The sequence below is a fragment of the Homo sapiens genome, chromosome 9, assembly GCF_000001405.40.
Source record: "Homo sapiens chromosome 9, GRCh38.p14 Primary Assembly".
NCBI classification, from domain to species: Eukaryota; Metazoa; Chordata; class Mammalia; order Primates; family Hominidae; genus Homo; species Homo sapiens.
The window spans coordinates 121439815-121461977 of NC_000009.12; the positions used below are offsets into that span (position 1 = coordinate 121439815).

Below are 22163 nucleotides of genomic sequence, written 5' to 3' on the forward strand. Positions count from 1 at the left end.
CCTGAGACTGGAGATAGTTGGAACTGAGTCATATTAATGGCAGACCTCTAGGGAGAGTCCACAATTTTCAGTTGCAGAGGCCCCTAAGCTTTCCTGGTTCTTACTCATGGCCTGGTTGCAGTGATATACTGGTAAATTTTTAACAACTGACACTTTAAAAAAAGAAAGAAAGAAGGAAATTAAGGAAAGGAAAAAGAGCCCTGGTTTCTAGTGTGTGTTGACTCCCATGGTTTAAATACTCCCACCACGGCCTATTATCACAGTGATGTCACTGAACAGGGAGCTGGGAAGTATTGCCTATAATAGACTCTCACAAGCCAGTATAAGCTGGCTTCAGCACACCCCTGCTCCCCTGTCAATTCTCCCTTCTATTCACAGAATTCTCCAATAGTCTCCCAGTAAACTCCTTTTGGGGTTTATATAGCTAAGGCTTATTTTAACTAATTGTTAAACTCATTTATTTTAACTAATAAGGCTGTTTTTTTATAGCCACATCCTTTAAATATTAATTGCCATTTTCATTTGTATGCAAAATTAACATCTATTTCTATAAATGTGCAGAGTCTTCACCAGCTCCGGAAAAGAATATTTTTAATCACTGCAGTCGCTTAGGATAACAGGGTTATCTTTGGAAATTCCTGCCCTCTCGTGTCCAGTATAGAGAACTACTTTTGTGTTCTCTAAGGCTGTGAATGTTAGCGGACAACCAGGAGGTGAGTTAGAGGCTCTTGATGGCAACAGGGGACTATTCCCAGGGTATAGACGGGCGAGTGTAATGCATATTAGTTCCCAATGTTTGTTTATTACTGAAGTCCAAGAAACTCGGTACTAATGACATGTTGAGCTAGATAATTCTTTGTTGTAGGATGGTTTTTTGTTTTTTTGTTTCATTTTGTTTTGATTTTGGAGACAGAGTCTCGCTCTGTCGCCCAGGCTGGAGTGAGTGCAGTGGCAAAATCTCAGCTCACTGCAACCTCTGCCTCCTTGGTTCAAGCGATTCTCCTGCCTCAGCCTCCTGAGTAGCTGGGATTACAGGTGCCCACCACCACACCTGGCTAATTTTTGTATTTTTTAGTAGAGACAGGGTCTCACCATGATGGCCAGGCTGGTCTTGAACTCCTGACCTCAAGTGGTGCACCTGCCTTGGCCTCCCAAAGTGCTGTGATTACAGGCAGGAGCCATTGTGCCTGGCTGGTTTTGTTTTGTTCTGTTTTTAAGACAGGGTCTCACTTGTTGTCCACGTGGGAGAGCAGTGGTACAATCATAGCTCACTGCAGCTTTGAACCCCTGGGGTCAGGTGATCCTCTCACCTCAGCCTCCCGAGTACCTGGGACTACAGGCACACGCCACCATGCCTGGCTAATTTTTTTCTTTTTCTTTTTGTAATTTGTGTAGAGACAGGGTTTTGCCATGTTGCCCAGGATGTTTAGCAACATTCCTGGCCTCTACCCAGTATGTAGATAGCACCCACCCCTCCACCAACTGTGACAACCAAAAATACCTCCAGACATTGCCATTGCCAAATGTCCCGTGGGATGGAGAGGAGAGTGATTCCCAGGCTGAGAACCACTGCTTTATGCTGATGAAGCAAATTTATTTTACACATTGCTGACCTTGAAGTAGCACTGAATCCACCAGCTTATGGCACCAAGTTGGAGCTTAAGCCTACAGCCCAGGCTGTAACTCCTGAGTTCCCATACTGTATACTACAGGAGGAAAAGTTCCAGGTGCCAGATATCCAAACACTTGCTTTTTAATAGGACACACAGTCTATAATCAAAAATGTAAAACCTTCCAACTAAAGCAAAACATATCAAGGCATGATCGGAATGGATGTTGGTGCATTCATTCATTTGTTCAGTAAATATTTGTTAAGGAGTACTTCTGAAATACGTGATGCAGTAGGTGCTAGAGCTGATGCAATGTCAGACTATGGCCCTGCCTTTAAGGAGCTAATCATCCTAGAGGGGTTCAATGGAGATACTGTCAGTTATAAGTAAGAGAGAGTCCAATTCCAGCTGGCTTAAACAATCATGGGACTTTACTGGCCCATGCATTTGAAAAGCCCACAGACAGTGCAGACCTTAGGTAAGGCTGGATCCAATGGCTCAAAGTTGTCACCAGGGCCTGGGTTTCCTCCAGTGTCTCTGCTCCTCCTTTCCTATTGTCAATTTTATCCTAAGGTGGACTTCCCTTTTCCAGCAGCCCCTATTTTTACACGTGTCCTTATTTCTAGTAGAAGACTTGAAATTCACTTTGACTACTTTAGGTCACCTGCCCACCCTTGAATCAATAGTTGTCACCAGAGAAATGGAAAGTCCTGATGGATTGATTTAGCCAAGGGTACTTGCTTCAAGCATGGCACCAGTTTCCATAGAAATCACATAAATTCCCTGAAGGAGATCAGGGATTGCTGAGAAGGGAGAGAGAGCACCAGAAATGCTGGGTGAATATGGGGTGGTCAGCCAGCCCTTTTCACACAGGCTCTGCCAGGTGATTTCATCCGGTCCCAAAGCACCATTCCTGTGGATTTCCATGAAGGTCTTATTGTAGCACTTTGGGCTTCACACCTGCTGCTTGCCTCTCTGAAACCTCATTCCATCCACTCTTCACAGTGACCCTTTCTCTCCTTTCAAAGCTCAGTTCAGAGTCAGATTATCTGAGGCTTCTTCCACCTCCCTGAGCCATCCTTCTTTCATACTCCCTTAGCCCTGGTACTACCTATGCCTCATACCTGGTCAGGTTTCATGTTCCTCTTTCTCCAATTTTAGACTTACATTTTGCCTTTAAAGAGTTTGGGGTCTCCTAAATCCCCTCTCTTTAATGCCTAACAAAAGCATTGAGAGCATTGATGTTGATTTCTTTGGTATCTCCAATTTCAACAATAAGATGGTTAAAGTGTGTGTGTGTGTGTGTGTGTGTGTAAAACAGTGTGAGAAAGAAGTGTGGAGCTGTGGAAAGAGCACAGGATTTATAGTAAGATAATCTATAGGCAGACAGTCCTGGGTTTAAATCCTGGATCAGCACTCTTTCAGATCTCAGACATTCACCAGTGGATCCCTACTTGACTCTTTTCTTTCCTTAAAAGGTATGTATAGTGTGTTACACATTCACTTTCTATGACTTTTCACGCTTGTTAATATGCAATCATGCCAGTGTTATTTGTTTATGTTAGGCACATTTAACAAACAGTACATTACATTAAATAAGTGCTTGTAAGTACTGCCATAGTTGAGGTTCCTGATAGTGGTGGCTTTGGCTAAGAGAGAGCAAAGAGGGACAAAGAGAAATCCTTCAGGCCTTGAACACATTTTTCCCCTTTTGGCTGAATGTGGTTCCCAGATTTGAGGTGGAGTGGAAGGAGCAAGTATGGTTTGTTCCTTCCACCTACTCCTCTGCCTGATCACACCTCCTGAAGCCCCGCCCTGATATAACCGCTCAGTGCACGGCCATGGTGCTTACATCAGCCCTCCATGCACAATGTAAAGATAAGAATGATAACAATGTTTTATTTTTTGAAACAGGGTCTCTGTTGCCCAGGCTGGAGTGCAGTGGCACGATCTCGGCTCACGTAACCTCCACCTCCTGGGTTCAAGTGATCTTCCCACTTCAACCTCCTGAGTAGCTAAGACTACAGGCACACACCACCACACCTGGCTAATTTTTGTATTTTTTATAGAGACGGGGTTTCGCCCTGTTGCCAAGGCTGATCTCAAACTCCTGGAGTCAAATGATCCACCTGCCTTGGCCTCCCAATGTGTTGGGATTATGGGGGTTAAGCCACCGTGCCTAACCGATTTTTTTTAACATGGTGCTTTTAAACTTACTTAATGCATTTGGGGCAGGTTTCATGCATAAAAAGTGGGAGATGGTAGAGGCCTGGGAAGATATATAGTTGTGCTTTCCATGATATGAAACATGGCCCTCTGAATGCACTGTCAACACATCTGTCCTGTGAGTTTCCCTGCTTTGAGCCTCAGTTCAGTCACTTACCACTTACAAAAAGTTACTTGATGGGAGAGCTATTTCTCCAGTCTACTCCTTGATGTCAACCCTCCAAGTTGGGGTATGATGGGCTGAGGAACGCTGAGGTTTACACTAGCTAAGCAGTGGGACCAGCTGATGACCGACTGTCCTCTGATGAAGCCCACATCAGTCACCTACCACTTACCACTTGAGCCGAGTTCGAGGTTGCGGCCACATGAGCCATAATTACACCACCACACTCCGGCGTGGGCGACAGAGTGAGACCCTGTCTCAAAAACAAACAAAAATTTGGGAATCCCAAGTCTGTTCTATTTTTGTAATAGTGGACACATTTTCAGAAGGGCATGAGGACTTTCCCGAGTCTAAAAGCTTTCTGGACCTCATCTTCCTCTTTTATGAAATGAGACTAATTCTCCACTATGAGGTAATCATGCCCTGTTGCATATTCAGTGCATCTCACTAAATTAGCCTGGTCATCTTTAAATTTTTTAGTATAAGTACACCTGCTGGAAATCCAGACTTTCCCACTTGACCAGATATATTCCCCAGAGGTCAGGACTAATAATCCCCAGATATGGTGATGGCATTGTTTTCTTCCTCTGCCCTGATGCCCCACCCTGAGCTTCAGGGGCAAGCCTTTCCCTAATGATTCTTTCACTGGCAGTTCATTATTTCAGCGCATTGCTGTGGAAAGCTCTATATAAGTATTTGTTGCTTAAAAGTTGGGGAATCCCTTGGACGGGCATGGTGGCTCACGCCTGTAATCCCAGCGTTTTGGGAGGCCAAGGCAGGAGGATCACTTAAGCCCAGGAGTTTGAGACCAGCCTAGGCAACATAGTGAGACCACATTTCTATAAAAACGTTTTTTTCTTAATTAGTGGGGCGTGGTGGTGCCTGTAGTCCCAGCTATTCAGGAGGCTGAGGTGAGAGGATCACTTGAGCCCAGGAGGTCGGGGCTGCAGTGAACCATGATCACACCACTGAACTCCAGCATGGGTGACAGAGTGAGACTCTGTCTCAAAAACAAACAAAAATTTGGGAATCCCAAGTCTGTTCTATTTCTGTAATAGTGGACACATTTTCAGAAGGGCGTGAGGACTTTTCTGAGTCTGAAAACCTAAAATTCTCTAATTGACAATTTTGAATATCTTTGGGAGGAAATGCACAATCCATGACCAGACCAGAATATACTGAGAAAGTAATTTATTTAATTGTAAATTGGGACATTTTTTAAAAAGTTTAGTAATAACGATTAACAAGATTATGAATTTGTCCATTGGGGATTTAAACTTTAATGAAGTTTTTTAAAAAAATCAAGAAATTCCTTTAAAAGTAAACATTAGTCCTTTGCTCTAAACTTTCAGGCTAGATCATTTCTTTGGGTCAGGACTTAAAAACCCTTAAGCTCTGCCTACTCCAGACTGAATCCAAGACAACCTGACTAATAGAGAAGCAGGAGTCTTAACTGATGTGTGATCTACTTTTTCAAAGCCCTGCTTTTTCCTTTTCAAAGCCCACTAATTCAGGGTTTTTGTTTTGTTTTGTTGGATGTGAGATTTTCTGGCAAAAAATGAAGTAGGAGGCACGGTGAAATGGTCGAGAAAAATCTAAGTTTCATTTTATCAAAGAAGCTCATTGCAGTATACATCAGGCTAGTGCAATGGCTCTTCAAATAAATTGCTTGAAAATGGAAACAAATGACCGAGACTGGAACACAAGCAAAACATAAATATACGTGCATAGGTACACACTGTCTCCTAACTCCCTTTACATTGATTTGGTTAACTTTAAATAATATGTAGGATTTCACAGCTTCTCTTAGAGAAGGGAATTGAATGTTAAGCTGTTCAGTCATGATAACTAGATCTTCCATTGTTATGGCTCATGCTTCTGTTACCAAATCAATTAGCCATTTTGCCAAGTATGTCTAATTATTACACTTCTATAGTGCAGATGGAGCAGGAGAGAACAAGAGGTTACTTGATGGGAGGGCTGTTTCTCCAGTCTACTCCTTGATGTCAGTCCTCCAAGTTGGGGTATGATGGGCTGAGGAACCCTGAGGTTTAGACTAGCTAAGTGGTGACCGAGTGTCTTCTGATGAAGCCCACATCCTAGAAACAGAACTGCTTGCAAGCCTCTTCAATCCACTGCAGGCCTTTGCCTTCTCTGACACCATCCACATCTCTTTACCAAGGATTTGAAGATGCAAGTTGCAGAGTCTGGTAGACTGAATACCACTTAGGCAACACAAGAAACATCTTCCGTTCAAGTCCCTGAACATAGGGTCAATGAGATTGGAAATCACCCACACTTCCTCCCATTCAGTACCTGGATCTGTGATGTATTTAAGCACCAACCCCATACCCTAAGTGCCCTCAGGGTGGCACTGCCCCACAGTGATTGGCTCCTCTCTTCCACTCTCTCTTCGCTATTTCATGGCAAACTCATGTCAAGGCTTTGTTTTGACTTCATGCTGGGCACCTTGGCTCATTCAGGTTCCTTGGGACTCTGATCACACACCACCATGATATCTACTGGGACACTCCACCAATCTTTCGCACAGAAGCCAAACAACATCCAGATGAGAAAAGGACGGACTACAGATGGTCTGAAGCAATCTGCTATTGAAGCTTTTTGAGGATTGCCAAGGCAAATGGTGTCTTTACTGAGAGTTCTGCTGCACAGTAACTCCATGTTGCTTTAGACCCATCAGAAATAGGCAGACATTGAACTCAAGGGACAACCCCTTACAATCATATCTTGCTGCCAAACGCTTCCCTTAGCACCCTTTTCTCCAGATGTCATCTGGCATGTGTAGAGTGTTTCTGGCTTTATCTCTGCCTATGACAAGTTATTTTTGGTTCAGTTGATAGTATTTCCCCCAAACCCAGAATAGATAAGAAATCACTGGGAATTTATATCTGATTGCCCTAGATTCATTCTTCCACATTACAAAGCCCCAAGTTACAAGGAGGAATGGTATGTTTTTGCCCTGTTGGTGTTTCATTAGTATTTTTTGAAGTTAAAATTAAGTGTTACTTTTCTGAGGAAGTAGCCAGAATATTTCTCTCTTAAATTCAGAAATCTACTGGCACAATTTGAAGTCAGACATTATTTCTAACCAAATTATACTCTTTTGTCTGCCACGATCACTTGACAGTTTTAATATCTGAAGGCAGGCCTATATGATAATCCCAGCAGTATTTTAGGGATAAGATTTTAGAGGGTTTATTGAGAAGGAAATACTTGTTTAGGTGGCTTTCATCATGCCACTTGGCTTCTATGTCATTTTTCTTGTCCAGGAGGATTCCCTTAAAGCACTCCTGGGTGATGTTGAGAACCTGAATGGGTGTTCCTCCAGAAATGGCTGCATGGTAATAAAAATCCCCTGGCCAAATGGAATGTATCCTGCTGACTCTTTCCACCTCTCCTAGGTAAAGTCATAGGGATCTGCCTTGTACCGCCAGCCTGTAGCTGAGCCACTGACTGGCCTAGGGTCTCCACCCCAAAATGGTCTTGGAAGACCTGGTCCACATCCATGCAGAAGAGGAAGTCGACCTCGTGTTGGATGTGGGCCAAGATGTGCTCCCCAGTGATCTTCATACGCATCATGCTGATGTCTTGCCACCTCTTCTCTGGCTTGACCTCAAACATTTTGAAGGAATGCAGAGGACCCAGCTCTATAAACGGCAGCTTGGAGACATCATCCACCATGATGTAAAATATGACTTTGTGGCCAACCATGAAGTACCTATTAGCAGATGTTATGAACTCCTCCAAGTAATGATCATTATATCTGAAACAAAGAAGAAAAGCAAAACATTTATCCTCTGGGATTCCTGAAAGAAACCACAAGCTGAAAAAACCCACATGTGGGTTTCCTGAAAGAAACCACATGCTGGGATTCCTGAAAGAAACCACGTGATGTAAAATCATCTTGTCTATATTTTATGGTTAGTAGGAGAATGATTTCTCCTACCCCAGGTGTGTTTTCATGTTAGTGTAATACCCCGGCTACTCTCCACCATTCAGTCACTCAGTCCGTGGGGAGCTGGAATGACTTATCTCACTGCCAATTTTGGAAGAGCAACTAGAACTAGACATGCACTACCCTATCCTTCCTCTCCTCTGGCTCTTAGGAGCCAGCCAGTCCAAGAGAGCATGTGTTCTCAACTGCTCTGGGTTTTACAGGAAGCTTAGTACAGGATCTATTCTCACATCCAGAGGCCTGTAGGTGCCTGGATGCTTAAGTCTTTCTAACTCTGGGGGTTACATATTTAGGAGGCCCAGGGTTTGCAGATATAAGCCACATTCTCCAATATCAGCTTTAACTATAATGAAAGTAATATTTACCACCCTCTGCCTTCCTTACCCCTTTGTCCAATTTACCAATTGGTTCAGATTTTGGACAGTCAAAGGGGGTACTAGTTCTTGATCTCCATTCAAAAGCCCTAACATAAACCCCAATGTTGCTACTGCCAGACCAGATACAAGGGTGATGTGACCCTTGGATCCACTGGGGATGCATTAAGCCCAAACAGCAGCACTCTCTTGTCCTCTGTGATACAGAGAATGAGTTATGAGATCTAGATCTGCCTTCATGTTACATAGTCATCCTATGAGCCTCCCACTAGTCACTTAAAACACCAATCCATTGTCCACACACCATCATCCAAAATACTAGTCCATCCGAATACTAGAATGAGCAACTTCTGATTTAACCTTATTTTAACTACTTTATCTTAAAAAAAGGACTATGTTAGCAGTAAGCCACATTCGGTGGCTGAGTAAATGTAGATGAAAAGAGAAGATAAAAAAATTAAAAGAAATTTAAAAAAGGAAAAATAAGGACTATTTTTTTAGAGAAGTTTTATGTTCACAGAAAAATTGCGCCAAAAGTACAGAGTTCTCATATACCTCCTGCTCCCACATTTGCACAGCCCCACCCCTCCACTATCAACATCCCTGCACCAGAGTGATACATTTGTTACAATCGATGAAGCTACACTGACATATCACTATCACCCAACATCCATAGTTTACATTAGGGTTCACTCTTGGTGTGGTACATTCTAAGGGTTTAACAAAAGTATAATGACATGTATCCACCATTATAGTATCATACAAAATAGCATCACTGCCCTAAAAATTCTCTGAGCTTTGCTCATTAATCCCTGCCTCCCTGAACAACCCTGAACAATCACTGACCTTTTTACTGTCTCCATAGTTTTACCTTTTCCAGAATGTCATATAAGCACACAGCATGTAGCCTTTTCAGTGTGGCTTCTTTTACTTAGTAACATATCTTTTCATGACTTGATAGCTCATTTATTTTTAGCATGGAATAATAGTCCATTGTCTGAATGTGACTTAGTTCATTTTTCTATTCACCTACCAAAGGACATTGTGGTTGCTCTCAAGTTTTGGCAATTATGAAATAAAGCTTCTGTAAATATCCATGTGCAGGTTTTTTTGTAGACATAAGTTTTTAACTCATTTGGGTGAATACCAAGGAGTACGATTGCTGGATCGTGTGGTAAGAATATATTTAGTTTTGTAAGAAACTGCCAAATTGTCTTCCAAAGTGGCTGTACCATTTTGCATTCCTACCAGCAATGAATAAGTGTTCCTGTTGCTCCACATCCTTGTCAGCATTTGGTGTTGTCAGTGTTTTGAATTTTGGCCATTCTAGTAGGTATTTAGTGGTATTTTAACTATTCATCTATTCATTTGAAAAGCATTGCACGCCATCTCCCATTGCCGGGCACGGTGGCTCACGCCTGTAATCCCAGCACTTTGGGAGGCCGAGGCGGGTGGATCACAAGGTCAGGAGTTTGAGACCAGCCTGGCCAATATGATGAAACCCCATCTCTACTAAAAATACAAAAATTAGCTGGGTGTGGTGGCTTACACTTGTAGTCCCAGCTGCTTGGGAGGCTAAGGCAGGAGAATTGCCGGAACCTGGGAGGCAGAAGTTGCAGTGAGCTGAGATGGTGCCACTGCACTCCAGCCTGGGTGACAGAGCAAGACTCCATCTCAAAAAAAAAAAAAAAAAAAAGAAGAAGAAGAAGAAAAGAAAAACATTTTATTGGTGTCTTCTGTAAGCCTAAGCTATAGACTATTTGTGAAGCTATGCTATGGAGATTACCAGGAAGAGGAAGAATAAGCCAGTTGGCTTAATACAACTTGACCAAACCCTAAACACACGTGGACTGAATTTAATGTGCTGATCACACTACTGGCCAATCATGGTGTTTTGTGAGTAAAGTGAATGGCACTTCTTTTCGCTTTTTGTTGCTGCTTGGATTCCCTTTATTTGTTACCAAAATAAAGTGTGCTTTTAATGTTGGCATGTGGTAATCCAAGGGTTTATAGTATTGATTCTTTAAATGAAGAGAATATATCTGAGGAATATAAAAAGGGACTTCAGTGTGGCTCTGTGGCTAGTGGCCAGGAAATCCTTCAGTATTCTGGGACTTCGAGAAAAATCTATTGTGCCCTGAAGCTTGGGAAACAATACTGGGGTGGGGTGGCGGGGGGGTGGTTTAGTACAGGAGAGATTCATTTTGAGGTTTCACATTGTTTAGAGATTAAAGCACTGCAGTTGGCTCCATGCATTGTTGCTTGAAAACAAACCAAACATTACACCTCCTAAAAGTCCAAATCCACTTGTAAAGATTTATTGCTGCTGAGTACAAACAGTCCTCCCTTGTCTCAGAGCTGAGGGCAGAATGCTTTCACCAGGATGTGCAATTTACAGTTTAGTTGTGCAGAGTTGGAACTGGATGGCTGAAGCCATTGTGGGGCATTGGGCAACGTTTTGTTCTTTTTGGAAACACCAGGATCAAATCAATCTGCAACGTGGCTGGGTTATCCCCTTTTGTGCCAAAGGATTAGGTGAGCTGGGTGGTTCACCTAATCTAATTAGGTGGCTCCCAACCTATATGAGTAGAGATTCTTCTGGTAAACATGTCAAAACTCCACAGTCACCTTTCTCTGTTAGAGAGACCACATAGGTCCCTAGGATCAGCACATTCAGTGACATTAGAACTTGATTGGTATTGTTAATGACGGAACAGTAATAGCTGCTGGGCTCTGGGTTGGGGAAGGTTATCTTTGGAGAACTATCAGATCTTTACAGAGCTCTCTTTTAAGCCCCACCTTGGCAAAGCTCAGATCAACCTGAGCCTTCAAGTCTCTTTATACAAGGCAAAGGAATCGACTTTCCATGAAGCTTCTTCAGAAGAGATATAGAGGGAAAGGCCCAGAGGGCAGAAAAAAAAATAGGAAAATTGGACTTTTAGTTTTATTTTGAAAAAAAAAGGAAAATTCTCCAAAAAAAGCAAAATGGATTATCTTTAATAACTAACATTAGAGCTAGAACTTTCTTTCTTTTCTTTTCTTCTTTTTGTTTTGAGACAGAGTCTGCTCTGTCACCCAGGGGCGTGATCTCAGCTCACTGCAACCTCCGCCTCCCAGGTTCAAGAGATTCTCCTGCCTCAGCCTCCCAAGTAGCTGAGACTACAGGCATGTGCCACCACGCCCAGCTAATTTTTTGTATTTTTCATAGAGACGGGGTTTCACCGTGTTAGCTAGGATGGTCTCGATCTCCTGACCTCGTGATCCACCCACCTCGGCCTCCCAAAGTGCTGGGATTACAGATGTGAGCCACCGCACCTGGCCTAGAGCTAGAACTTTCAAGTAAGAATGATCGTAGTTTTTCTGCGTCATATGTTCTGAACAAGGGAGTTGAAACTGGAACCTATCCAACCTTTGGAAGAGCAAGCTCTGACCAGCAAATCTTCTAGGGCCAAATCCTCCATGAGAGAAAAAGTAGAAGTGATCTGAGGAACCCATGGAAGAGTGGTCAGCTGTGTTCCAGCGTGGAAAGCCACTGTGCTTAGGTCACTCAGCACCTAGAACTTGCTATAAATCTCTCTGTAGTTGGTCCTGGGCCGTAGAGCATAGGAAAAAGAATGATGCACTCTGGGCTGTCTAGCAGCTAGCACTTGTGGAATTTCTAAAGGAAGCCATGGTGGTCAGGGAGGAGGTGGTTGTGGGTATGCTGTTGACCCTGGGCTTGGTGGGTGGAACAGACATGTTTTCCTGCAACCCAAGTCCCTCATTTTGAGGTAGGAATGAGTGGACTTACCTACTATTATTTTGTTCTCAGCATTTTAGGGCCTCAGCAGAAAGGAGACTGAACCAGTTCCATGAAAACATTCTCCTATCTAATAAATCAAAAAATCATGACTGGCTTCCATCAGTTCAGGAGTCTCCACACAAATGTTTTGACAGTGGAACAAGAGACAGTCAAGGACAGTTTTATCAGTGACATCTACCTTCCAATAGCAAAAACCATCAACCGCACGGTAATTTTCTGTTTGGCATAATAATTTCCTAGGATGGCTTTGTTGAAAGTGCCTTCCCACACAACCGGCGCCTTCCATCTGGTCACTGTCACAACCTCTGGGTGTTTCCTGGTGATAAAACGTAGAGTTCCCTGAGTCAGGGCAGCTTTGCCATTGTGGGGCAGAGACTGTCCAAGGATAAGGGGGGTCAGCTATGATCTGCAGGGACTGTCCTTGAATCCTGACTGTAGCTTAACGCCAAACACTTGGCTGGGAGGTATGCCATTTGCAGGGGTAGCATCTTCTGGGTAAGGAAGATGAGGCTTTGGCTCAGGTGCCTCTGAGGGCTATCTTTTTTTTTTATTTTTATTTTTTATTTTTTTTTAAGACAGATCTCGCTCTGTCACCCAGGCTGGAGTGCAGTGGCAGGATCTTGGCTCACTGTAGTCTCTGCCTCCCAGGTTCAAGTGATCCTCCTGCCTCAGCCTCTCAAGTAGCTGGGATTATAAGCGTGCCCCACCACTCCTGGCTAATTTTTGTAATTTTAGTAGAGATGGGGTTTCACCATGTTGGCCAGGCTGCTCTTGAACTCCTGACCTCAGGTGATCCGCCAGCTTCAGCCTACCAAAGTGCCAGGATTACAGGCGTGAGCCACTGGGCCTAGCCCTCTCAGGGCTATTTTGGGGGGCCCTTATGAGGCTCTTATCTCTACATCTCATACCTTCTTACCTCTTCTACTTTATTTTTTCTCTTCCTACTTCTAAATCCCTTTCCCTACTTTCCCAGCCCCTTCCTAAGCTACTAGTAGCACCTTTGGGTGTTATTTATCCCTGTGGATGTCATCTGAGCCTAAGGAGATCCTAAGCCTTGATAAAGGCGGATGAGAGAGTGACATTAGATTAGAAAGAGAAAAAGCTGTTTCCATTTGCCTTTTGCTAGAAGAGATATCTGGGTGGGAACCTGGTCATTGGACAAAAAGGGCCCCAGATTAAAGGGATTCTGATGTTACTGCTTACTTTACAAACCAGGAGACAAAGGCGCCAGAAAGGAAGGCATTTGATGGAGGCCCAGCAAGGCCAAGACTGGAGCCTAGGGCTCTGGCAAGGACCTTCTCCTTAGACCAGGAGCATCTTTACTAGGAACACAAAAGGGGTGAGAGGGAGGGCTCTGTGCTGTGCTCAGAGAGCTGGAATGGGACTTGGCAAGGCCAAAGCAAAACAGGAAGCTATAACAAAGCACAAAACCCTGAAGTCCTGAAGGGTAAATGCAGAAAGCACAGAGCCGCAGGGGCCCCAGCATGAGGGTGAAGCTCCAGGCAGGGGGAGGCTCTGACTCCCTATTGGCTCAGGAGGTGGCTGCATTTTCCCCGTTGGGAAGCAGAGACTGGCACAGGTCATTTAGATTCAAACCCCAGTATGGGCCTGGCACCCTGCTTGGCATTTGCTTGTACTTTACTGGATTCACTGTGGGCAGCATCTTAGTTCAACCCCAGGAAGGCAAGTGATTGGGGCAAAGTCCTGGTGATCCCTACTGGCTGCACTGCCGTGGTCCTGGTGAGGCTGTCAAGGAGACGTTAGCAAATACGTCGGGCCAGCACGGCCAGTGGAGGCCTGGGTTTTCACAGAATCGCCCTACCCATCAGCAAAGTTGGGTTTTTCCCACAGCGAGGCTGATAGTACAGCTGGGTCATCCCCTGCCTCATCCCAGCCTCAGAGTGGAAAAGGGGCCTCAGTAGACTCTCCTCTCGGGCCTCCTGTCCCTTGTCCCCAAACGCTGCACCCTGTAGTTCTTGAGCTGACTCTGCCCTCCCACCCCAGCCGCAGGCATGACATCTGGTCTGCTTCCCAGATTCCACCACAGCTGGAACTGGCCTGCTTCCTACATTTCACCCCCAATGCTGAAATTGCTCCAGGTTTGTCCAGATGGCAGACAGGGGAAACACTTTCAGGGTGCTCTCCTGGTTCACCACATCTTGTCTGGAGTCTCAAACTCTAAGACTTAGCTCTGCCCTCAGCACCCCAGGTACGCCTGCTGCATGGAGGACACAGTTGCCCTTGGTTTCCTTCAATCATGAAAGAAGCTACTGTGCACTCTGCACCAACCTGTGCCAGGCACCCACCACGTACACTTTCTCATTTAGTCTCTGCAACAGCCCTGCAATGTATCATGTCCATGGTCCAGGTAAGAAAACCAAGTCTCAGAGCAGCTTATTATCTTGTCCAAGGCCAAACACCTGGTCACTAATGATGCAAGCTAACACACACTGAGCAATTCCTTTGGGACCACGCACTGTGCAAAGGGCTCACTCACCCTTCTGAGGTAGGTGCTATTTTGATTCCCATTTTATCAATGAAGAAACTAGCACAGATAAGTCAAACAACTTGCCTGAGGTTGCACAGCTGGTAGGGGTTAAAGCTGGGATTTAAACAAGATCTGCTGACTCTGGAGTCCATGCTCTGAGCTGAGCTACCACGTACACTATTTCTTATATGCCTTTTCATTCCTCTGCTGATGAAGTTGGGGTTAAAACCCAGGTTTGTCCAGATCTAAAGGTAACCCTATTTCCACTTAAAAAATAAGCCGGGCGCGGTGGCTCATGCCTGCAATCCCAGCATTTTAGGAGGCCAAGGCGGGTGGATCATTTGAGATCAGGAGTTCAAGACCAGCCTAGCCAACATGGTGAAACCCTGTCTCTACTAAAAAAATACAAAATTAGCCAGGCGTGGTGGTGCACACCTGTAATCCCAGCTACTTGGGAGGCTGAGGCAGGAGAATTGCTTGAACCCAGGAGGCGGAGGTTGCAGTGAGCCAAGATCGCGCCACTGCACTCCAGCCAGGGCAACAAGAGTGAAACTCCATCTCGAAATAAATAAATAAACAAACAATATAAAATAAAAAGTAATCATTTTTATTTGCATTGGCATTTTTGTCAATTCAGACTGAGAAATGATGAGCCTTTTTTGTTGTTGTTTTTAGTAGCTTACATGGTGCTTTTAGTTCTATAAAACTCCCATCTTTGTTGAATGACGAGATTGTAAACCAGAAACCAAAAACCAAAAAACACCCACACAGCTGTCTTATACTTCTGTAACCATTTCTGAACTTAAAACTCTCTTGTTCGTTACACCTCATTCATTGCATCTTAGTTTTAGCTTGTCAAAGATCTTTTAGTAGCTCTAACATAGCCCACTAGCTAAGTCTTGTAAATGTGTATAAGCTGGACATTTGGTAATATTATTTTTAAAAAAGGAAAAGGAGGAATAGGTATACTTATTTAATACTTATTGTGCACCAGAGGCTAAGTGCTTGACTTTTATTCTCTCATTTGATCTTCATGACCATTCTATGAAGTGGGTGTTATCATCATTCCCATTTTGCAGATAAAGTGGAGGGTAGGAAAGAAGGAGAAGGGTATGGAGCCTTTTGCCATTTAATTTATATAAAAGACCCAACTGGAGTGTCTGATCCCCTGACCCACATTTCCCAGTTCCCTGCTCTATACCAGGTCATCCTGCTAAGCGCTGAGATGGGAGAAATGAGACCCAGTCCTTCCCCTTGAGAATCTCGCAGTCCCAACAGGTGGTCCGCCTGTTACACACTCCTTAACCGCATGATCTCTCAGTCCAGGTCTTCTAGAAGGACTGAGTCAGAAAACCAGAGTCCAGTTTAGTTATTCGGATTCCTTCAAGCTGGAAGAAAAAACAGCAACATTAAAAATTTATGTTGAATTAAAAATTAAAATATTCTATTTCCCAGCTGTTAATTATTTGATTCCACTGACAATTCCAACAGGTCAGTGACCCTGACTACAAAGCCACACAACAGCCTGAAAATGCAGGCAGCTGGGGAGATGGGGGCGGAGGGAGAATGAGATCAAGATCAGCTTCCTGGATGAACCGCTGCATCAAGGAGTCTTAGTCATCAAAACCCACAAAACCCCCCAAAAAAGAAGTGACGGAGGGCAGCTCACACATGTGAAAAGCTAGTCTTTGATAATGTCAACTGCCAGAGAAGTCCAAGATCACAAAGATGGGGCACTAAAAAGAAAGGAAAAAGTGCCAGGAAAGAGCTGCTCAGATGCTTTCCTTCCACGTAGGACATGCAATGGTGTGATGCCAGTGTGAGAAGTTCCACAAAAGCTTCCCCCAAAATAAAAGGGCCCCCTAACCAAAGCACACACCTTCCTAGGTTATTGGCAGCTTTTAAATTTTATATATTTATTTATGGCACATTTTGGTACCCAAGGGGTGGGTAGAAGAAGAGTTAAAATTCTTTTTTTTTTTCAGACGGAGTTTGGCTCTTGTTGCCCAGCTGGAGTGCAATGGTGAGATCTTGGCTTACTGCAACCTCTGCCTCCTGGGTTCAAGTGATTCTCCTGCCTCAGCCTCCTGAGTAGCTGGGATTACAGGCATGGGTCACCACACCTGGCTAATTTTGTATTTTTAGTAAAGACTGGGTTTGGCACGTTGGTCAGGCTGGTCTCGAACTCCCGACCTCAGGTGATCCACCCACCTTGGCCTCCCAAAGTGCTGGGATTACAGGCGTGAGCTACCATGCCCAGCCGGAAGCATTAAAATTCTATGAATCATGGAGTAGGTTAAAAAAAGATGTGGAATATAGGTGATCCTCCCACCTTAGCCTCCTGAGTAGCTGGGACTACAGACATGCGCCACTGCATCTAGCTAATTTTTTATTTTTTTGAAGAGACAGGGTTTCACTAAGTTGCCCAGGCTAGTCTTGAACTTCTGGACACAAGCAATCCTCCTGCCTCAGCCTCCCAAAGTGCTGGAATTACAGGCATGAGCCACTGCGTCCAACACAACTCATTATTGACTGAATTCCCTCTAAGCAGGAGTAGGTTGGCTAAACAAGGACACAGAGAAAAGCTGATGGCAACATGAACAGGGATGGCATAGCGGCTGTCGAGTGGAGAGAAGGGGATGAAGTAGAAAGGATTTCGGAGGAGGAATTGACAGAACATGCTAATGCATTAGACCATGAGGTAGACAGAGGAAAAGGTCTCCCAGACTGTGTGTCTTGAGCCATTTACTGGGATGGGAAATGAGGAGAACAAGGGTGGGGTGGAATTGAGAAATCCATTCTGGCCATGTGAGACATGCAGAGATGTCAGGCAGACAGGTAGACACAAGTCACAGCTCAAAGGCAAAATCTGGGCTAAAGATTTAAATGTAGGATGGTATCTAATCTCACTAATGGTACCTAATGCCATGAAAATGGATGAGAGCACATTGGAAAATGGTGTATAAGCCGGGCGTGGTGGCTCACGCCCGTAATCCCAGCACTTTGGGAGGCTGAGGCAGGTGGATCACCAGGTCAGGAGATTGAGACCACCCTGGCTAACACGATGAAACCCCGTCTCTAATAAAAATACAAAAAAATTAGCCGGGTGCAGTGGCGGGCGCCTGTAGTCCCAGCTACTCGGGAGGCTGAGGCAGGAGAATGGCATGAACCCGGGAGGCAGAGCTTGCAGTGAGCCGAGATTGCGCCACTGCACTCCAGCCTGGGCAACAAAGCGAGAATCCATCTTAAAAAAAAAAAAAAAACAGTATATAAAGAACAGAGAAGAGGTTGCTGGACTTAGCTCCCATAAACTCTAATCCCTGACAGCTGGGAAGAGGGAGCTGCCCCTCTCGGGAGACGGTCACAAATGAGGATGTGGTGTCATGGAAGCAAAGCGACCTTGATATGGAAATATGCACAATATACTGTGGTTTTAGGTAGTTTACAGAAAAGGATACTTTTTTTTTTTTTTTTGAGACAGAGTTTCGCTTTGTTGCCCAGGCTGGAGTGCAGTGGCATGATCTTGGCTCACTGCAACCTCTGCCTCCTGGGTTCAAGCAATTCTCATACCTCAGCCTCCTGAGTAGCTGAGATTACAGGCACCCACAACCACTCCCAGCTGATTTTTTGTTTTGCAGTAGAGACGGGGTTTCACCATGTTGCCCAGGCTGTTCTTGAACTCCTGAGCTCAGGCAATCCACCTGTCTCGGCCTCCCAAAGTGCTAGGATTACAGGCGTGAGCCAAAAAGGATACATTTATACAAAGTATGTTTATTTGCTCATCCATTCCTTCATCCAATCATTCATTTATGCAAGAAATAGACTTAGATGCCCTGAGAAGACTTAAATTTGGTGCCACTTCAAACCAACATTCTTTAAATAATCTGCTTGTGTCCAGAAGCAGTGGCTCATGCCTGTAATCCTAGCACTTTGGGAGGCCGAGGCAGGGGATCACTTGAAACCAGGAGTTCAAGACCAGCCTGGGCAACATGGCAAGACCCCGTTTCTACAAAAAATACAAAAATTAGCCAGGCGTGGTGGCGCATGCCTGTAGTCCCAGCTGCTTGGGAGGCTGAGGCGGGAGGATCACTTGAGCCTGGGAGGTGGAGGCTACAGTGAGCCATGATTGTGCCACTGCCCTCCAGCCTGGTGGCAGAATGAGACCCTGTCTCAAATAAATAAATAAATAAATAAATAAATAAATAAATAAAGGATAAGATAAGATAAATTAAAAATAAATATCTGCTCCCTACTCATTTGGAGATGAAGCCATGCAAGGGGAAGAGTGAAGAGGGTGAAAGCTGGTGACTATGGTCTGTCCCTCCTCTCTGCCCCCAGTCATTCAGCCCCAGCCCCACCTCCCAAGTCCTGCTCAGCAAAGAACAAGTACCACAGTAAAATTGCCCCATTCTCCTTAGAAGGGACTTTGGGGACCATCTCTGGCCCATCTAGCCTGTCCCTGGCGGAGTCTCATTGCCCCATCTAAGGGGCTTTATCAAAGCAACAATGCTTCCATCTTCTCACATTTCTATGAGTGGTTTAGCATTTCAGAGATGCCTACCCTGTTGTGCAGATCATCAAATGACATATGGGAAGCCAAAATTCCCATCCCTTCACACTGGCATGGATCCCTTATCCCCAAACAATAAGAGAAGTTGCCAGAACATATTCAGTCTTTCCAGAGCCCAAGCTCCTTCACAATGGGATAGATGCTATTTTCAGGCTGGGCATGGTGGCTCACACCTGTAATCCCAGCACTTTGGGAGGCCAAGGTGGGAGGATCACTTAAGCCCAGGAGTTCAAGAGCAACCTGGACAACATAGTAAGACCCTGTCTCTACAAAAGAATTAAAAATTAGCTGGCCGTGGTGGCGCACACCAAGCCTCCTTACTCAGGAGGCTAAGCCTGGGAGGTCAAGGCTGCAGTGAGCCACGATTGCACCACTGCGCTCCAGCCTGGGTGACAGAGCAAGATCCTGTCTCAAAATGAATAAAAATTAAAAATCAAATGAAAAAAAAGGATTCCATTCTCTCCTGATTACTCTGATGATACCTCATTGCACATCTCCAGCACATACCATCTGCTAAGCTCAGGAGCACCCTGTGACTCTGTCCAGATGTCCCATAAGCACCTGCATCCACATGCATTCCTAATGGAGGTCCCCACCTCCCCCAGCTCTGAGGCCTGTGTCTCCTCCTCCAGTCCCCTTTCTGGCCAATGGCACCATCACCCACCAGTCTCTCAGGTCTCAAAGTCACCCTGGACAGCTCCCATCTCCTCACTCCCAGAACCACATCCTTCCAGTTGATCCTGCCTCCTACCAATCTAGGCAAATAATAGTTTCACAGTAACGACCCCTGTGAGACCATGAACTTCTCAAATACAACCATGTTGATTGATTTCTCCTGTCTCCTCTCCCTAACACAATGCCTAGCACAGTGTTTTTGACCATAACTCACAGTGAGAAATATACTTTACATCACAATCAAATAGATGCACATATACATATGTCTACTGTTAAAGGTCTAATATGCTAAGGCTCTTTCTCCTAAATCAGGAATGTTCTCAATGGCACTGTTGCCTCCACTGCCACACCACCCCCTGCAGGGCCATGGATTTGCTGCACAGGGAGTGACGCCGCTTTTCTTACTTTGGATTAAACCAGTCCCATAGCCGAAGCTCTGTTGTGTCATTTTCCTTCCTTTGGTCTCCTCTCTTCCTTTTTCTTTGTCTATGTCTTCTTCCCCTTGTTGATAATTGTGGATCCTAAGTACAAAGGGAAAGTAAACCAGGTAAGGCAGGGAAGGTGATTGCGGTGGTCAGAGAACTGGTGAATATCTTGTGGAAATGTGTTCCAAGGCAGATTATGCATGCACTAAGTGAACTGACCAGAAAAAGGCTCTAGGCACTAAGCGTTTATTCATAAAGACATATTTTTGATGAAAAGATGCAGTACTCAACTCATTACCCTTCCAAGTCACCACAGTTAACAATTTAATGACCCAGCAACCCTCAGGTTATTTCAGGGGGGGTGAGGGAAACTTGATAAGACAATTCTTCTAAGAACATTTTAGTTTATGATTGTCTTTCCTGCAATCTAAACTTTAGCCCAGGCCAGGCATGGTGGATCACGCCTATAATCTCAGCAATTTGGGAGGCCAAGGTGGGCAGATCACCTGTCAGGAGTTAGAGACCAGCCTGGCCAACGTGGTGAAACCCTGTCTCTACTAAAAATACAAAAATTAGCCGAGTGTGGTGGCGGGCGCCTGTAATCCCAGCTACTTGGGAGGCTGAGGCAGGAGGATCACTTGAACCAAGGAGGTGGAGGTTGTAGTGAGCCGAGACCACGCCACTGCACTCCAGCCTGGGCAATAAGAGCAAAACTGCATCTCAAAAAAATAAAAATAAATAAATAAACTTCAGCCCAAGCCTCAGCCCCCAAGTTAACTGAAACAAAACAAAACAAAAGACTTATTTATCTGGATGTGGTAGTGCATGTCTGTAGTCTAGCTACTCGTGAGGCTGAGGCAGGAGGATCACTTGAGCCCAAGAGTTTGAAGCTGCAGTGAGCTATGTTTGCACCACTGCACTCCAGCCTGAGTGACAGTGAGACCCTGTCTCAAAAACAAAACCAACCCTCAAATGTCCTAGTCCCACTCACAAAATATTCTTCATATAATTTCAATAAGCAAGAAAGATGAGTGACTGAGAAGGTCATGAACATGAAACCATTGTGTGTGGACCCTCTGCAAGCACCAGGCGGGTGGGCAAACACCGACTGCTGTCTGATCGCCTTACCCATTGTTAAACCAGCTCAGAAACCACCAGCCCTTCTGAGCACTGCTGTCATCAACTTCTGGGTTTCTAAGAAATGAAAAAGTTTACAAATATTTTTAGAAAATGTGGTGTCCCCAAACTTAGGGTTTCCAAATTCTTTCTATAGCCGAGATTACTTTAAAAAAATAAAAAACCTTAAAATGCCAATTTATAAAACAGACAGAAATGAGACACTCTAGCTGAATGAGAGAGAACAGACCTGAGACTCCCTCAATCTCTCCTCCCTTGGGTAGCCCCCAGCCCTCAGCTCATCCTGGGGGCCCTAGAGGAAGAGAAGGGAAAAGGGGGCTGGAGTGGGGGTGGTATTAATGCATAAACCTGAGTTCTAGATCTGCCACTTACTAGCTGTGTGACTGTGATAGGACATTTTCCCTCTCTGAATTTTGACTTTCTCCTCCAAAAAGTATAGTTAATAGTACTAATAACAGACCTACCATGAAGGTAATTTTGAAGACTGAATGAAATAGCATACATATAAGAGCTTTATGAGTTGAAAATGACTGTAACAAGTTATACGCTTCATGAAAAACCGATGCATGTTTCCATGTTTCTTTAGCTAAAACCAGCAGAATTCAGATTGTTGTAAAAGTCTAGAGAAAAATTTGGGTTGCCCAAAGGTTAGCAGTAACAGCCTCAGGAAATCTGAGGGTCACTGAGCAAGAAGTTCAGGAAACTACTTAGAAGCCA

The 22163-nt window shown here is 44.6% G+C and overlaps 1 protein-coding gene and 1 long non-coding RNA gene across 12 annotated transcripts in view, besides 2 other annotated features; one reads left to right on the forward strand and one right to left on the reverse strand.

Moving 5' to 3' along the window:
• Positions 1-22163, forward strand: part of LOC102723324 (uncharacterized) — a 93479-nt gene that overhangs the window by 69922 nt on the left and 1394 nt on the right. Inside the window, exons 4-5 of one of the 5 annotated variants that reach the window (NR_187160.1) lie at positions 11558-11688; positions 12161-12359. The exons of 3 other annotated variants lie outside the window; for them this stretch is intronic. This is a non-coding gene — a long non-coding RNA (uncharacterized LOC102723324). Of the gene's footprint in view, positions 1-561; positions 714-11557; positions 11689-12160; positions 12360-22163 lie in introns of all 5 variants that reach the window. One more of the 5 variants, NR_187159.1, reaches the window with a different exon arrangement.
• The window catches only part of GGTA1 (glycoprotein alpha-galactosyltransferase 1 (inactive)), a 54855-nt gene continuing 37867 nt past the window's right edge, over positions 5176-22163 (reverse strand). For 4 of the 7 annotated variants that reach the window (NM_001382585.1, NM_001382584.1, NM_001382586.1 and 1 more), the window contains 3 exons: positions 21438-21503; positions 20290-20405; positions 15226-16027 (listed from right to left, as the gene is read on the reverse strand). In NM_001382585.1, coding sequence (NP_001369514.1) covers positions 16023-16027; positions 20290-20405; positions 21438-21503 — 187 coding nt within the window. In that variant the 3' untranslated portion in view covers positions 15226-16022. Of the gene's footprint in view, positions 7784-12329; positions 12468-15225; positions 16028-20289; positions 20406-21437; positions 21504-22163 lie in introns of those variants that run through there. The other 3 variants (NR_168461.1, NR_168460.1, NR_168459.1) reach the window with 2 other exon arrangements.
• Positions 13433-13934: an enhancer, noted in NCBI's record as "H3K27ac-H3K4me1 hESC enhancer chr9:124215525-124216026 (GRCh37/hg19 assembly coordinates)". NCBI's record gives its function as "activates a minimal SCP1, AML or CMV promoter by ChIP-STARR-seq in naive H9 embryonic stem cells {active_cell/tissue: H9 hESC(naive)}" and the evidence as "EXISTENCE:reporter gene assay evidence [ECO:0000049][PMID:30033119]".
• Positions 13935-14434: an enhancer, noted in NCBI's record as "H3K27ac-H3K4me1 hESC enhancer chr9:124216027-124216526 (GRCh37/hg19 assembly coordinates)". NCBI's record gives its function as "activates a minimal SCP1, AML or CMV promoter by ChIP-STARR-seq in naive H9 embryonic stem cells {active_cell/tissue: H9 hESC(naive)}" and the evidence as "EXISTENCE:reporter gene assay evidence [ECO:0000049][PMID:30033119]".